At 38.6% G+C, this 18,705-nt stretch overlaps 1 annotated feature.

Moving 5' to 3' along the window:
* Positions 12,749-13,948: an enhancer, noted in NCBI's record as "MED14-independent group 3 enhancer chr2:19580130-19581329 (GRCh37/hg19 assembly coordinates)". NCBI's record gives its function as "activates an origin of replication core promoter dependent on BRD2, BRD4, P300/CBP and CDK7 cofactors, and independent of MED14, by STARR-seq in HCT116 cells {active_cell/tissue: HCT116}" and the evidence as "EXISTENCE:reporter gene assay evidence [ECO:0000049][PMID:35650434]".

Genomic DNA, 18,705 nt, shown 5'->3' with positions numbered 1-18,705 from the left:
AAGAATATCTAGGAAACCTCTGAAAAAAGAAGTAATGTCCAGAGCTAGCCCCACAAAATATTTAAAACATATTATGTAGTGCAACACTGGGACATAAATAGACAGATGAGTGGGAGAAAAAAACTCCAGAATTGTGTATTTTTAATTGGTATATGAGAGAAGTGGCATCTCAAATCAGAGAGGGAAGGGATGGGCTCTTTAATAAGTAGTGATGAGATAACTGAATAATCACCGAGAAAGAGGTAAGATTGGATTTACTCCTCATCCTGTGTGCCAGGAGAAACTCTAAAATCATCAGACATGTTAAACATAAAATAATTTTAAATAAAACCATAATAAGTAATTAAGAACAAGAGATAGGTAAATGTCTTCATTCTGTATTAGTGGGAAAAACTTTTCTAGCTATGACTCCAAATCCAATAGAATAAACAATAATGAAAAAGATGAATTTGATTACTTAAAATTTTTTAAATTTTTGCATGACAGAAAAGTAAAAAGACAAATAACAAACATTGGCAACTTATATGACATAAGGATAATAGACCTAATGTTGGGCTCAACCATGCACAACTACCAATATTCAACTATTTTGATGTAGAAAAGTGGTAATTTTATATTGATTAACCTAATATATAAAGAACATCTTAAAAAGAGAATAAGAATTTCAACAGCCCTATAGAAAAATGGCCTAAAACTATAAATAAATATAATAATTTGTACATTTTATGCAAACTATATAGTTCTGAAAAAATAAATGCAAATAACCCTTAATCCATATGAAAATTGTTCAATCTCACTCATTGTAAATATATATATATACTAAACTATAGTGGAATACAATTTTTCACCTATTATATTGGCAAAAATCCCGAAGTTGAGAGCATGTGCTGTTGTTGAGGTTGTGAGGAATAGGCACTGTTATGGGTTGGTGGTGGAGATGCAAATTACACAACCCCCCTGGGGAGGAAATTGATAATATCTAGCATAATTACACATGCATTTGTCCTTTGACTCAGCAATCCCACTTCTAGGCATGTTTGAGAGTTCATTATTCTCAAAATATTCTCTCCACTTTTAAATATAAAATTTTCCATAATAAAATGTTGATAAAAATACAAATAAAAGGAGGGAATGAAGGGTGTTAATTGAACCAATCAAATTGGTTAAATGGAGGCCAGTTAAGAGTGTTTCCACTCCACTTTGATGCAAAGTAGTCTGGGTACTAAGTAGGTGAACAGCAGCATCTATAGCTGACAAGGAGTGGGCCAGTCTGATGGGTAGAAAAGGTCATGTCACAAAAACCATCCTTTCCTCTCCAGCAAAAGGTTCAGCTTTTAGTAATTCAGGGTCTGAGTGTAATTTTATCCACTACTCTTAACAAAGCTATCTTCCACCTCTCCTCTGCAGTTAATAATATTGTGTCCATCCAGGAAAATGACTTTGTAGATGCCTTCAGAATTGGCTTTGTCACAGTCCACTGCTCTTTCTGAACTGGTAGAAGTCTCTAAGAGTGCTATTTATCTCTGCACAGCAATTTTTTTATAGAAGCAGGTGACTTGGTTCCAATTCTAGTCTAGGGTTGGGATCAGTCTGTGGGGAGAAATGCACTGCCTTAGGGTGCTTAAAAATCCCAAATCAATCTGCATAGATGACAGATATGAGTATGCAAAATCAAGGGCACCAAAACAATGATATTCTTTAATTTTTTTCAATAACAAAGCAATTTCTTTTAGGAAGCCCCATTCTGCTGGGTGGTTGAAACTTAACTTCAATCCATTCACTGTCCCCGTTCCTTTCCCCTGGGCTATGCAAAAGCCTCAGGCGCTTACCCAGGTCAAGGTATGAGGAAAGCAGGGCTATTGTCAAACTAGGTTCATCTGTCCATCATGTTGGCATGCCCCAAGATACTCTCCCTGACACATGCGGGCCTCTGCTGTGCGTCCTCAGCATGGTCTGTCTCAGGCTGCTGGTTCTGTCTGCCAAATTCATACTTAGTTACAATACTAAATACTAAATATGCTGACATCACTGTACCACCCTTGACAGATAGATGCAAGGCCTTAGGAATTTAGCTGAAATACACCTGCCTAGACATATTTCTACCTTCATTCTTGTTCCTTTTCCAAAATCTGCCCAAAGAAAGGAGTAGGCATGAGAAAAAGGTCCCCTTCATGCATGGGATCACCAAATATACCTGGGATTTGTGTTGTCCCTCCCAACACTACCACCCACAGAGTCTCCTTTCTCAGAGACACATGATTTTCCCTCTTAATTCCATTCAGATTTCTATTTCTCCCTGAAAACTCTTGAAATCATTATCTAAATAGAGAGGTAGCTGTGAAGCCTTTTCCTACTCACCAGGAAGTCTTCTAAAGACATGTACTATAACTCTGTATTTCAAATATGTAAGTGTAGGATTTGTTTCCAAACTTAGATCACCTAAGACATAAAATATAATATATATCATATATATTTATATATAATATGTAAATCACATATATGATTTATACATTTGATATAGCTGATTGAAGAAATGTGGTTTAGATGTGTGGCCAAAATGATCTCCCTGGGAATTTCCCTAAATTATATAGTCTTGCATAGTTTACTGGCATAGTTTACAACCATAGGTTTTCTCCACAAAGGAAAGACCTCTAACCACAGGACGGAGGGCAGAACTGATTGCTGGCAATCTGCAGAAAAACCAACACCTCAAACAGAGAGAGATCAACAAGATTGCTTCTTCCAAACTCACCAATCAGATAATCCACTTCTTCAGCCATGGGAAAGAATGAGCAAAGAATGTGTAAAGGCTTTGAATATTACTGGGATAGAATTTGTTTCATATGAAAGCATAAGGCCAGGGAAATAGAGAGTCTCTTTTAACTATAGAACTCAGAGGGGAGGCCGGGTGTGGTGGCTCATGCCTCTAATCCCAGCACTTTGGGAGGCCAAGGTGGGTGGATCACGAGGTCAGGAGTTCAAGACCAGCCTGGCCAAGATGATGAAACCCCATCTCTACTACAAATACAAAAATTAGCTGGGCACGGTGGAGGACACTTGTAATCCCAGCTGCTCAGGAGGCTGAGGCAGGAGAATAGCTTGAACCTGGGAGGCAGAGGTTGCAGTGAGCCAAGATCACGCCACTGCATTGTAGCCTGGGTGACACAGCAAGACTCCATCTCAAAAAAAAAAAAAAAAAAAAAAAAAAAGCAATTCAGAGAGGGAAGAAAATAAAGCTGAAGAAAAATATACATTAGGAGTCTATTTTTATACCTACATATAAATATGTAAAACATATAGAAAGATATCACTAGGTTGCCTTTAGGGAATATAGGAGAGAGAATAAGACTGCAGAATATCAGTTATATTTGTGAGGTTCTGAATTTGTTTTTTTCTAAGGGAGGAATATGAAAAATGTTAGTGATTTTTAATTTGGGAGGTAGAAATATAAATTTCTTTTTAATATATTATCCAAGATTCGTATAAGAGTGACAGTCCAGATACCAAGCCATACACATACTAGTATAATATAATATAATATAATATTGGCTTATATAAGTATTGTGTTATTATAAAAGCATAATACTGTATTATATTATACAATATTATTTATGATGTATGTACTGTATAGTATGATACATATTATATAATATGATATGTATGACATGATATAATACATATAAAATATACAGTATGAATAAGTATATAACAATATATAAATATCAGATTAAGTGTTTTACAGCTTATTTCAAATGCAAAGAGCTGGAAAGATAGAAGTTTTTTTCAGGCCAAAGATTTGTATAGGGAGAAACCCAGTGAAGTAAGCAGAAATGAACACATTTCAACTTCAAGAGAATTTTCCCAACCTTATAAACTTACTTTTTCTCAGCCTTGTTGAATTGTAAGAAAATAAAGTCTAAGGTCCAAGGCAACTAGTTTAGTAGCAGAATTCCTTTGCCTTAAAGTTGAAACGCAAAGTGTTGTACCCTCAGTGTGAAAATGAACTAAAAGTAAACTTTCCTACCACCTTCAAACCCCATAGAACTACCAGGAATGTTGGCCTTGGTAAAGAGCAAAGCAGAACAAAAAAATGTGCCTCAGAAGCTGTCATCACAAATCAGCCCTTGCTCACATCTGCAGCCCAAGTCTACAATATGGGGCGATGTAAAAAACCTCAAGTCATGCATTCAATTTAAAATGGTCATTTTGGGTTCCAAGATGGCTGAATAGGAACAGCTCCAGTCTACAGCTCCCAGCATGAGCGACGCAGAAGACGGGTGATTTCTGCATTTCCAACTGAGGTACCAGGTTCATTTCACTGGGGATTGTTAGACAGTGGGTGCAGGACAGTGGGTGCAGCGCAACGAGCATGAGCCGAAGCAGGGCAAGGCATCATCTCACCCGGGAAGTACAAGGGGTCAGGGAATTCCCTTTCCTAGCCAAGGGAAGGGGGGACAAACGGCACCTGGAAAATCGGGTCACTCCCACCCTAATACTGCACTTTTCTGACAGTCTTAGCAAACGGCACACCAGGAGATTATATCCCATGCCTGGCTCAGAGGGTCCTACACCCATGGAGCCTCGCTCATTGCTAGCACAGCAGTCTGAGATCGAACTGCAATGCCGCATTGAGGCTGGGGGAGGAGCACCTGACATTGCTGAGGCTTGAGTAGGTAAACAAAGCTGCCAGGAAGCTCGAACTGGGTGGAGCCCACCACAGCTCAAGGAGGCCTGCCTGCCTCTGTAGACTCCACCTCTGGAGGCAGGGCACAGCCAAACAAAAGGCAGCAGAAACCTGTGCAGACTTAAATGTCCCTGTCTGACAGCTTTGAAGAGAGTAGTGGTTCTCCCAGCATGCAGCTTGACATCTGAGAATGGACAGACTGCCTCCTCAAGTGGGTCCTTGACCCCTGAGTAGCCTAACTGGGAGGCACCCCCCAGTAGGGGCAGACTGACAACTCATACAGCCGGGTACCCCTCTGAGATGAAACTTCCAGAGGAACAATCAGGCAGCAACATTTGCTGTTCACCAATATTCGCTGTTCTGCAGCCTCTGCTGCTGATACCCAGGCAAACAGGGTCTGGAGTGGACCTCCAGCAAATGCCAGCAGACCTGCAGCTGAGGGTCCTGACTGTTAGAAGGAAAACTAACAAACAGAAAGGACATTCACACCAAAACCCCATCTGTATGTCACCATCATCAAAGACCGAAGGTAGATAAAACCACAAAGATGGGGAAAAAACAGAGCAGAAAAACTGAAAATTCTAAAAATCAGAGCACCTCTCCTCCTCCAAAGGAACACAGCTCCTCACTAGCAATGGAACAAAGCTGGATGGAGAATGAGTTTGACGAGTTGAGAGAAGAAGGCTACAGATGATCAAACTTCTCCAAGCTAAAGGAGGAAGTTCGAACCCAACACAAAGAAGTTAAAAACCTTGAAAAAAGATTAGACGAATGGCTAACTGGAATAACCAATGCAGAGACATCCTTAAAGGACCTCATGGAGCTGAAAACCATGGCACGAGAACTACGTGACGAATGCACAAGCTTCAGTAGCCTAATCGATCAACTGGAAGAAAGGGTATCAGTGATGGACGATCAAATGAATGAAATGAAGCGAGAAGAGAAGTTTAGAGAAAAAAGTAATAAAAAGAAATGAACAAAGCCTCCAAGAAATGTGGGACTATGTGAAAAGACCAAATCTACGTCTGATTGGTATACTTGAAAGTGAAGGGGAGAATGGAACCGAGTTGGAAAACACTCTGCAGGATGTTATCCAGGAGAACTTCCCCAACCTAGCAATGCAGGCCAACATTCAAATTCAGGAAATACAGAGAATGCCACAAAGATACTCCTTGAGAAGAGCAACTCCAAGACACATAATTATCAGATTCACCAAAGTTGAAATGAAGGAAAAAATGTTAAGGGCAGCCAGAGAGAAAGGTCGGGTTACCCACAAAGGGAAGCCCATCAGACTAATAGCGGATCTCTCGGCAGAAACTCTACAAGCCAGAAGAGAGAGGGGGTCAATATTCAACATTCTTAAAGACAAGAATTTTCAACCCAGAATTTCATATCCAGCCAAACTAAGCTTCATAAGCAAAGGAGAAATAAAATCCTTTACAGACAAGCAAATGCTGAGAGATTTTGTCACCACCAGGCCTGTGCTACAAGAGCTCCTGAAGGAAGCACTAAACATGGAAAGGAACAACCAGTACCAGCCACTGCAAAAACATGCCAAATTGTAAAGACCATCGATGCTAGGAAGAAACTGCATCAACTAATGAGCAAAATAACCAGCTAACATCATAATGACAGGATCAAATTCACACATAGCTATATTAACCTTAAATGTAAATGGGCTAAATGCTCCAATTAAAAGACACAGACTGGCAAATTGGATAAAGAGTCAAGACCCATCAGTGTGCTGTATTCAGGAAACCCATCTCATGTGCAGAGACACACATAGGCTCAAAATAAAGGGATGGAGGAAAATGTATTAAGCAAATGGAAAGCAAAAAAAGGCAGGGGTTGCAATCCTAGTCTCTGATAAAACAGACTTTAAACCAACAAAGATCAAAAGAGACAAAGAAGACCATTACATAATGGTAAAGGGATCAATTCAACAAGAAGAGCTAACTATCTTAAATATATATGCACCCAATACAGGAGCACCCAGATTCATAAAGCAAGTCCTTAGAGACCTACAAAGAGACTTAGACTCCCACACAATAATAATGGGAGACTTTAACACCCCACTGTCAACATTAGACAGATCCACAAGACAGAAAGTTAACAAGGATATCCAGGAATTGAACTCAGCTCTGCACCAAGCGGACCTAATAGACATCTACGGAACTCTACACCCCAAATCAACAGAATATACATTCTTCTCAGCACCACACTGCACTTACTCCAAAATTGACCACATAGTTGGAAGTAAGGCACTCCTCAGCAAATGTAAAAGAGCAGAAATTATAACAAACTGCCTCTCAGACCACAGTGCAATCAAACTAGAACTCAGGATTAAGAAACTCACTCAAAACCACTCAACTACGTGGAAACTGAACAACCTGCTCCTGAACGACTACTGGGTACATAACGAAATGAAGGCAGAAATAAAGGTTCTTTGAAACCAACGAGAACAAAGACACAACATACCAGAATCTCTGGGACACATTTAAAGCAGTGTGTAGAGGGAAATTTATAGCACTAAATGCCCACAAGAGAAAGCAGGAAAGATCCAAAATTGACACCCTAACATCACAATTAAAAAAACTAGAGAAGCAAGAGCAAACACTTTCAAAAGCTATCAGAAGGCAAGAAATAACTAAGATCAGAGCAGAACTGAAGGAGATAGAGACACGAAAAACCCTTCAAAAAATCAATGAATCCAGGAGCTGGTTTTTTGAAAGGATCAACAAAATTGATAGACCGCTAGCAGATTAATAAAGAAGAAAAGAGAGAAGAATCAAATAGATGCAATAAAAAATCATAAAGGGGATATCACCAACGATCCCACAGAAATACAAACTACCATCAACGAATACTACGAACACCTCTATGCAAATAAACTAGAAAATCTAGAAGAAATGGATAAATTCCTCAACACATACACCCTCCCAAAACTAAACCAGGAAGAAGTTGAATCTCTGAATAGACCAATAACAGGCTCTGAAATTGAGGCAATAATTAATAGCTTACCAATCAAAAAAAGTCCAGGATCAGATGGATTCACAGCGGAATTCTACCAGAGGTACAAGGAGGAGCCGGTACCATTCCTTCTGAAACTATTCCAATCAATAGAAAAAGAGGGAATCCTCCCTAACTCATTTTATGAGGCCAGCATCATCCTGATACCAAAGTCTGGCAGAGACACAACAAAAAAAGAGAATTTTAGACCAATATCCCCGATGAACATCGATGCAAAAATCCTCAATAAAATACTGGCAAACCGAATCCAGCAGCACATCAAAAAGCTTATCCACCAAGATCAAGTGGGCTTCATCGCTGGGATGCAAGGCTGGTTCAACATACGCAAATCAGTAAATGTAATCCAGCATATAAACAGAACCAAAGACAAAAACCACACGATTATCTCAATAGATGCAGAAAAGGCCTTTGACAAAATTCAACAACACTTCATGCTAAAAACTCTCAATAAGTGAGGTATTGATGGGATGTATCTCAAAATAATAAGAGCTATTTATGACAAACCCACAGCCAATATCATACTTAATGGGCAAAAACTGGAAGCATTCCCTTGGAAAACTGGCACAAGACAGGGATGCCCTCTCTCACCACTCCTATTCAACATAGTGTTGGAAGTTCTGCCCAGGGCAATCAGGCAGGAGAAAGAAATAAAGGGTATTCAATTAGGAAAAGAGGAAGTCAAATTGTCCCTGTTTGCAGATGACATGATTGTATATCTAGAAAACCCCATCATCTCAGCCCAAAATCTCCTTAAGCTGATAGGCAACTTCAGCAAAGTCTCAGGATACAAAATCAATGTGCAAAAATCACAAGCATTCTTATACCCCAATAACAGACAAACAGAGAGCCAAATCATGAGTGACCTCCCATTCACAATTGCTTAAAAGAGAATAAAATACCTAGGAATCCACCTTACAAGGGATGCGAAGGACCTCTTCAAGGAGAACTACAAACCACTGCTCAATAAAATAAAAGAGGATACAAACAAATGGAAGATCATTCCATGCTCATGGATAGGAAGAATCAATATTGTGAAAATGGCCATACTGCCCAAGGTAATTTATAGATTCAATGCCATCCCCATCAGGCTACCAATGACTTTCATCACAGAATTGGAAAAAACTACTTTAAAGTTCATATGGAACCAAAAAAGAGTCCGCATTGCCAAGTCAATCCTAAGAACAAAGCTGGAGGCATCATGCTACCTGACTTCAAACTATACTACAAGGCTACAGTAACCAAAACAGCACGGTACTGGTACCAAAACAGAGATATAGACCAATGGAACAGAACAGAGCCCTCAGAAATAATACCACAATCTACAACCATCTGATCTTTGACAAACCTGACAAAAACAAGAAATGGGGAAAGGATTCCCTATTTAATAAATGGTGCTGGGAAAACTGGCTAGCCATATATAGAAAGCTGAAACTGGATCCCTTCCTTACACCTTATACAAAAATTAATTCAAGATGGATTAAAGACTTAAACGTTAGACCTAAAACCATAAAAACCCTAGAAGAAAACCTAGGCAATACCATTCAGGACATAGGCACGAGCAAGGACTTCATGTCTAAAACACCAAAAGCAATGGCAACAAAAGCCAGAATTGACAAATGGGATCTAATTAAACTAAAGAGCTTCTGCACAGCAAAAGAAGCTACCATCAGAGTGAACAGGCAACATACAGAACGGGAGAAAATTTTTGCAATCCACTCATCTGACAAAGGGCTAATATCCAGAATCTACAATGAACTCCAACAAATTTATAAGAAAAAAACAAACAACCCCATCAAAAAGTGGGCAAAGGATATGAACAGACACTTCTCAAAAGAAGACATTTATGCAGCCAACAGACACATGAAAAAATGCTCATCATTACTGGCCATCAGAGAAATGCAAATCAAAACCACAATGAGATACCATCTCACACCAGTTAGAATGGTGATCATTAAAAAGTCAGGAAACAACAGGTGCTGGAGAGGATGTGGAGAAATAGGAATACTTTTACACTGTTGGTAGGACTGTAAACTAGTTCAACCATTGTGGAAGTCAGTGTGGCGATTCCTCAGGGATCTAGAACTAGAAATACCATTTTACCCAGCCATCCCATTACTGGGTATATACCCAAAGGATTATAAAACATGCTGCTATAAAGACACATGCACACATATGTTTATTGCGGCAGTATTCACAATAGCAAAGACCTGGAACTAACCCAAATGTCCAACAATGATAGACTGGATTAAGAAAATGTGGCACATATACACCATGGAATACTATGCAGCCATAAAAAATGATGAGTTCATGTCCTTTGTAAGGACGTGGATGAAGCTGGAAACCATCATTCTCAGCAAACTATCACAAGGACAAAAAAACAAACATCGCATGTTCTCACTCATAGGTGGAAATTGAACAATGAGAACACTTGGACACAGGAAGGGGGACATCACACACTGGGGCCTGTCGTGGGGTGGAGAGAGGTGGGAGGGATAGCATTAGGTGATATGCCTAATGTAAATGACGAGTTAATGGGTGCAGCACACCAACATGGCATATGTATACACATGTAACAAACCTGCACGTTGTGCACATGTACCCTACAACTTAAAGTATAATAATAATAAAAAATAAAATAAAAATAGTCCAACTATCTAATTAAAGTAAGCACAACTTTTTTTGGAAAGACTAAACCTCATCCACAACCTGAGAAATATTCCACAAATATGCTTCCCTTCCAAATTAGTGGATCCCAATCAATAATCATTGAGTATATGTGATAGTTAATTTTATGTGTCAACATGATTGGACCGCAGAGTGCCCAGATATTTGGTCAAATATGGTTCTGTATGCTTTTGTGAGGGTGTTTTTGGATACACTTACCATTTGAATTGGTAGATCGGAAAAAGCAGATTGCCTTAACTAGTATGGGTGGGCCTCATTTAGTCCACTGAAGGATTGCATAGAACAAAAAGGCTGACCATTCCCCAAGTAAGAGAGAATTCCTCCTGTCCGACTGCCTTCCAGCTAGGACATTGACATTTTTTTTTTTGAGCCTGCTGCCCTTCAGATGAACAACACCATCAGCCCTTTTTCTCCTGGGTCTCCAACCTGCCAATTCACCCCACACATCTTGGATGGAACTTGTCAGTCTCAATAATCATATGAGCCAATGCCAATTACTTATAATAAATCCCTTTATACACACACACTGTGAATAGATTTCAAAATTTTTTCACCAAAATAACTCATACTGACTTGTTATAAGATGTCTAACTAGAATCTAGTTTGAGACACTAAGAGGGATAAGACATCAGTTCAAAAAGAGTCCCTAGCAGAGCAACATAAATTCTGCTAAAATTGAAAGAAAAGGAAACATCCAATTTATGATGAAGCTTAGGTGAAAGAATGGTGAAATCATTGATGCTTTATGAAAAGTTTAGGGGGACAATGCCTCCAAAGAAATCAGAAGTTTATAAATGGATAACTCATTTTAAGAAAGAATGAGAGAATATTAAAGAAGAAGCCCACATTGGCAGACCATCCACACCAATTTGTGAGGAAAAATTTCATCCTTTTTGTGCCTCAATTGAAGAGGACTGATGATTAACAGCAGAAACAATAGCCCGAACCATAAACATCTTTATTGGTTCAGATTATACAATTCCGACTAAATAATAAAAGTTGGACAAACTTTATACTTAATGGGTGCCAAAACCATTGCACCCTGATCAGCTGCAAATAAAGACAGAGCTTTCAATAGAAATTTTAAACAAGTGGGATCAAGATCTTGAAGATTTTCTTCAAAGAACTATAACAGGAGCTGAAATATGACTTTACCAGTATAATTCTGAAGAGAAAGCACAATCAAAGCAATGACTACCAAGAGGCGGTAGTGATCCAGTCAAAGTAAAAGTGGACTGGCCAAGAGCAGAAGTCATGGCAACAGTTTTTTTTTTTTTTTAGATCCTCAAGGGGTTTTGCTTGTAGACTTTCTGGGGGGCCAAAGACAATACATCTACCTACTATGAGAGTGTTGTGAGAAAGTTAGTCAAAGCTTTAGAAGAAAAGCATCCAGGAAAGCTTTACCAGACAGTCCTTCCCCATCCTGACAATGCTCCTGCTCATTCCTCTCACTAAACAAGGGAAGTTTTGTGAGAGTTTCAATAGAAAATCATTAGTCCTGATTTGGCTTCTTATGATTTATTTTTGTTTCCCAATTAAACAAAAATCTTTAAAATGCACAAATTTTTCTTCAGCTAATAATGTAAAAAAGACTGTACTGACTAAATGGCTGGTATCATCACTTATAAAAATGCCTTAAAGTGGATGGAGCTTATGTTGAGAAATAAAATAATAAAATTCATATTTTTATGTTTACCTTTTAATTCAATTTTCCACAAACTTTTTGAAGTACACACACACACACACACACACACATATATATATACACATATATATGTGTACATCTTATTGGTTCTGTTTTTCTGGAGAACCCTCATACAGTACACAAGTACAAAAAGCATGATATACTAGAAGCAGCAGAAACAGACCTATAAAGATGGCATTTCTTCAAATTATTAGACAAGGGAATGAAAGAACTATTCCTACTATTTCGCTGAGAACAACTACAAAGGACAGATAAAATGGGGGAGGGGGGATGCTTGAAGGTATTAGCGTATTATACAGGATTTGAGTGGCCAAGGTCTCAGAGAAAAAGTAGGTGCATCAATATTGTATACATAAATACATCAATACATCACTTTTCCCTTCAGATCAGTTACAATTTTTTTAAGAACAAGATGAGGACAGGTAGAGGTTAGTGCTAAGAATTAGAGAAGCCAGCAGAGTTTCAGTAACCTCACAAAACTAGGAAACAAAAGTTGGAGTTTGAGACTCAGAAGGCAGCCAGGACGTGAGAGATCAAGAGAAGTGGGGTTCAAAGACATGACACAACACCCAGCAACTTTCCTTTCAATGCCTTTGTTAAATTGTGATGTTGCACAGGGCAAGAAGATAAAAAACCAAGCAAACTTCTGCCTCCATTCAGAAGGAATGAATTAACGGCTTTGAGAATATCTTTCCATCATAAACAACTAGAAAAACAGACAAAACATATGTAGATAAATGTAAAGCAGTGCAGCAGGTAAATATATAATATTTCTAGAAGACAACGTAAGAAAATAACTTTATAACCTTGAAGTAAGAAAAGATTTCTTAAAAGGGATGTGAAATGAACCTGCAAAAAAAAGACTACGTTGCAATTAGGAACTGATTATGAAAATATACCATTAATAGGTCAAAAAGACAAGCCACTTAGTGGAAGAAAATAGTTACAAAAAATATATTTGAAAGAGAACGCATATCAAGAATATAAAAATAACCCATACAAAATAAGAAAAAGCCAAATAGAAAAGTGGGCAAAAGAATTGAATAGGAACTTCACAAAAGAAGATATTCTTATGGCCAATTAACGTGTAATAAAGTGCTCAATCTCATTAGTCTTCAAATAGTGCAAATTAAATCTCCAGTGAGATATCATTCATTATACAACATCAAATGGCTAAAATGAAAAACCGTTACCACCAAATTTTGGTGAAGATGTTAAGCAACTGGAACTCACTTACTGTAGTAAAAGATTTGGGACTATTGTGGTGATTTTGTAGCATATCAACCTTGCTGAACTTAAACCACATTTCCCAGAATTTCTTTGTGTAGGTGGTTCTGGGCTAAAGTTGACTCAGTAGACATCTCTTCAGGATTTGGAAGTCAGAGGTGAAGCCATTTTACACTTGAAAGAACTGTGTGCATCAGGTGTTGTTACAGCTCTCAAATACTTTTAATGATCTGCTGACTCATTGTGATGGGGCAGTAGCTGGGCCCACAGCTCCTCCAACTCCTTGTGAATCTTCTTCATCTTCTCTAAATCCTAGGTCAGGTGCATGGACATCTCCATGGAAAAGTGTGCCAAAATACCCTGCAGGTCACCCACATTACCAAGCCTGGAGGCATTAAAAGACAGATGGAGTTCCAGGTTGTCATTGCTTTCTGCCATTGCATGAATATCCACTGCCCCTGCTGACTTTCAATCAATACTAGACACAGAGACAAGAAGCTTATGTAGATGGTGTAAACAGCTCCCAGGGTTGCATGAGGTCTAATTCCTATGATTAATTCCTGATTCTGTATCAGTTATAGTGGCCTGCTTTTCTGATCAAGCTTTATCTGATTGATAGATCTTTTTCATCATTTGAGACTATACGTTTTTTCAGGGAGGATCTAAATAATGGAAATGCTTAAGTGAAAGAAGAGACAAATTAATAACCTTGTCAAGTCCTTCCTCTTACCATGCATATAATATATTCTTGTACAGTGAAATACCATAATATTTATTCCCAGTTAATGCATCATTATTATTCCCAGTAGTACCAAACATCCATTTTCTTTCTTTTATTTATGTTCCAATTTGTGGTTTCAGAGGTACTCACAAATTACCGTGTATTTATCATAGGTTTCAATCAGTGCATCTGTTAGCAGTGCTGGCTGGGGAAACCATGGGGGTTGGCAAAGTGTGTGGAAACAGACAGGCATTTCTGGTGCTGACCACATCAGCTGCATCCTCCTTTGTGGTTACTAATAAATTGAATTTTTTAATAAGCTCCCAATTTGTGGATTCCACCTTAGCATGCTCTAGGGAAGCCTCATTCCAGGTAACTGCTCTAGCATCTGGGTCTTGGGAACCCAAAATATTTCAAAAGATAGCTTCCCTCTTCCTCTTGGTTTCAGGAGGCTTAATTCAGTTGACAAATCCCATCTCCATAGTGGAAACAAAGCACCACTGACTTGTTCTCATGAGATGGGTCTTCCAGGGAGGAGTCTGCTAAGCAGATTGATCTGGGAAGCCCATGATGTATAGACTAGAAAGAATTTCCCTATGAGATACTGTGGAGGCAATGTCCAAATGGAAGTCTTGGGTACCCATACTTGCTTTTTATATTCTAACTCAGAACAGTTGCAATTTATGTTCAGTTGGGAAAACAAAAGAGAATACACTAAAACAGAGAACATGTGCATACTCATGTGCTTCTGCTAGGAGTATACAAGCAGCCCTGAGACTGAACAAACCATAGTTCTGGGTCTCCATTTCCTCATCTCTAAAACAAGGGGTTTGGTTAAGATGGCATTGAAGGATCCTTCCAACTGTACCATCTGCAAATTCCATGAAGCTGCATCTCTAGAGACTTGGCCTCAGATGCATTAGCACTTGGTGACTGCAGCAAAAGGGGACTTGAAGAATCATTGAAACAATGTTGGGTGACTTGCTGTCCCCATCCAGGCCCTCAGTCATTGATCTGATCAGCTCTTATAGTCTACCCTGACTTAGAAGTTGCCCTGCTCCTGAGCTCTGCTCAGTGTTTCTTTTTATGAAGACCATTTGCGTGTTTCTGTTATACATCTTGGTTGCCATGCAAACTTGGCTCACAGAAGCCTGAAACAAACCCCAAACACCTCCGTACATACTTGCTTTATGACATTTTATTTGAATGCCAATATATCAAGTTTATAGTAAATGGAGGATATGGCAGGAGACTAAAATAACACCATAGTCTTTGAACACTCTAATCTGAGCTTAATAATTTTAAGATTTTTAGACATTTGTAACTCAACCTATGGGCATAATCTAGTAGTAATGGTACTTGGGTAAAGATGTTATGCATGGCGCTCAAAAAGATTGTACTGGATCAAATAACACAGTGCTTCCAAAGGAAACTAAATCTTTTTAAAACCCTCAAACATCAGTTTAAACTGTTAACTTTAATTTTATTTTAAATTCATGTTAAAGTAATTGCATCAAGCTGGGATTAGGTACTGTCTCTAACTCTCCCTCTACATAGTTAACTATTTCATGTATTAGAAATACAAATATAGTTATTTAAAAGGGGAGGAAGTTAAAAGTAATCTAGAGGTTTCTGTCTTCTGTGGTTTTACAAAAGCAACAGAGCCAGGTGCACCATCCCTAGCCTGGACATCAGTCCCCCATCTCACCATCTGCTGGAAGAAGAACATCTATCTAAGCACATTACCTGGAGAGAGGCAACAAAATAGTACACAAGTACTTGGACAAAGTGACATTTTAGTTAGTACCTTGCTCATTAGAAATGCAAGTGTTCAAAATTGCCTTGATGGTGTTCTTAAGGCAACAACTCTTTCAATATGCCACCTATAGAGCAGAGAGAGCACTGGGCAGAAAGTCATGCAGACCAGTATTCCAGCTCAACCACTCTCTGACATCCGAGCTTTAGAAAATTTCTCTCTCTTGATCTTAATATTCTAAACCATAAAATTAGGAGGTCAATAAAATCTCAAGGGTCCTGTCAAAGCTGATGTTCCATGATCTTTCATTTAGCCAAGCTCTCCAGATGAGCAGTTAGAAAGAGAATCACCTGTACGGAGAATTTTAGAATGGCTCTTTCCCTTACTTGGTTTGTTTTACTGTGCCCCAGATGTGGCCACATCAGGAAGTGGTCTGGAAGTGCCTGAATGCTCCTACTTGGGCAATCTCAGGCTGCTGTGGGGTAATATCCATGTCATTATGTAGGAAACATAGGGAAACAAAGGAAAGTCTCTGATTCCACTTTTTCTTGACAAAATAACACTCCGGGTTCCCAACCACAAGGAGGCACTGCACTGTCAGAAAGGGCTAGGACCCTCCAGCAAGGAGCTAGTGCTGGGTTCATCAAAGTCTATACCAGCAGACTGACCCACAAGATGAGTGGATGTGGGTCAGCGTCAGGATGGGTTCATGAAGGTCAGGCTCTGGGAGAAAAGAGGGCGGCCCCCAGACAGTGAGGCCATGAATGTGGGAAAGCAGTCAGAGCTGAACAGTCAAGGAACAGCCCAAGTCAGAAGAGAAGGGCACTTCCTGACCTTGACCGTTCGAGAACATCCTAATTCAGAGGTTTTCACCAAGGCCCAAAGTCCCATTCTTCCCTATGTATCTCATTCCCTTGGCCCCAGTGGTATAATGTAGACACACGAGCTAACGTTCAGAAGGGGGTCAAAACACCAGTGTTAACACTCCATCGTTCCAAGTTCTTAGTAAGTGTCCACCTGCGCTAGACAAAGATCACTCTTGGAAACCAAGTAGCTAGTATTCCATTCAGAAGAATTTCCACATAACTTCCTTTTGTGCTCTTAAAATTTAAGTGCCCAGATGTGATCTTTGAGGCATTTAGCTACCCTGAGACTCATGCTTCACTCAGAATTCAAAGTCTTTGATTTTCTTTTTTAAGCACAAACATAAGGATTTGAAGTGGTAACTTTTTCCATATTGTGGTCCTCAACTTCGTTTTCCAAAATTCTTTTTTCTGCTAAATATAGAGCAAAGTTACCTGTAGAGCGTCTTCAATATTTTTTGAACTTATATATATATCTAGAAGAAATAAAATAATTTTCTTATTATAAATGGGCATTTTAAATAAAATACAGCTACAGTAAAAATAAGATGAAAAATTTAAATGTACAAATGATCATAATATTTTAATGGCATATATTTTATTCATCTACACAGCTAAGGTCTTGTTTTGGCAGGAAAAGAGTAAAGTTATTAAAGTTAAGTTTTGTTTAAACTTATATAATTGTTATAATTTATTTCAGTTAAACTCTTTTTTCTTTGTTAAAATAGTTGTTACCTATCACGTAAATTGAATTATGTCCTTGAATTTATCATGAGTTTGTTTTCATTTCTGTTCTTGGTGTGAAGGTTCAGACGTAGGAAATGGTTTCCTGTATGAATCCCTGTGATAAAGACACCACATTAACTTAAAGAATAATTTCTTTAAGTGATGCACTTATGAATTTGTTTAATTTCATTTCTTATAGTAGAAATTAGCTGTTTTAGAATCTTTAAGCATTTTACACACCTTCTATGGATAGAGTTCTAGTAAGGAGATGATTCTCCCTTAATGAGCACAATGAGTGTTTCAAGTAGCAACGCTGCCTGATACCTAGGGTCTTTGTCTGTGAACTATTTAGCATTTAGTAAGCTCAGCTTTGGGTGAATGGTATGGTCGGGGGAGTGAGGAGAGAAAGGATTTCCTTTCCTGTCCTTAGGGAACTTTAATTCTTACTGGGAATATAAGTAACAATCAAGAAACAGTAAGAACTAGAAGAATTACTTGTATTTGGGATACAAAATGTCCCCAGATATAACGCTTGCTCCCACCCAATCTCCAATATACCTACACTGTTTGGTATTCTTTGGAAAAGGTGAGGTGGGAGAACCTCTGTTTCCCTAAGCCCTCAAAGACCAGTTTTGAGATTTTCCTTATTTTCTTCCATCATTAACACTTTCCAGGAGATAAGACAAAGAGGGTACAGGATTGTGATGATTAATTTTATATGTCTACTTGACTGGGCCAAAGGGTGCCCAGATATTTGATCAAACATTATGCTGGGTATATCTGAATGGAATTAACATTTAAATATATAAATTAAATAAAGTAGATTGTCTTCCCTAATATAGGTGGACCTCATCCAATCAATTGAAAATCTGAATGGAACAAAAAGGCTAAGTAAGAGAAAACTCCTCTTGCTTGAGCTGAAACATTGAGTTTCTTCTGCCTTCAGTCTCAAACTAAAAATTCTACTTTTTTGGTCTTAAGCCTACTGACTTTGGACTGGAACCACACCATTAACTCTCCTGGTTTTCGGACTTTTGGACTTGGACTAAATCTGCACCATCAGCTCTACTGGGTCTCCAGCTTGCTGACTGCAGATCTTGGGACTTGTCCAGCTCCATAATTGCATGAGCCAGTTCCTTAGTATAAGGAGATGTTTGTTCTGTTTCTCAGGAGAACTCTGACTAACACACAGGTCTTTCCCTTTAGCTTATCAATATTTAAAGTACTTTTAAGCTATTCCCCCATCCCCAAAAAAAAAAAACAAAAAATGAGAGAAATGCAAGAGTGTCTAGCTTTGCAAATAGCCAA

Source organism: Homo sapiens, chromosome 2, assembly GCF_000001405.40.
Source record: "Homo sapiens chromosome 2, GRCh38.p14 Primary Assembly".
NCBI lineage: Eukaryota > Metazoa > Chordata > Mammalia > Primates > Hominidae > Homo > Homo sapiens.
Note: the sequence above shows the minus strand (reverse complement) of the source record. Positions and strands in the feature narration are given on the sequence as shown.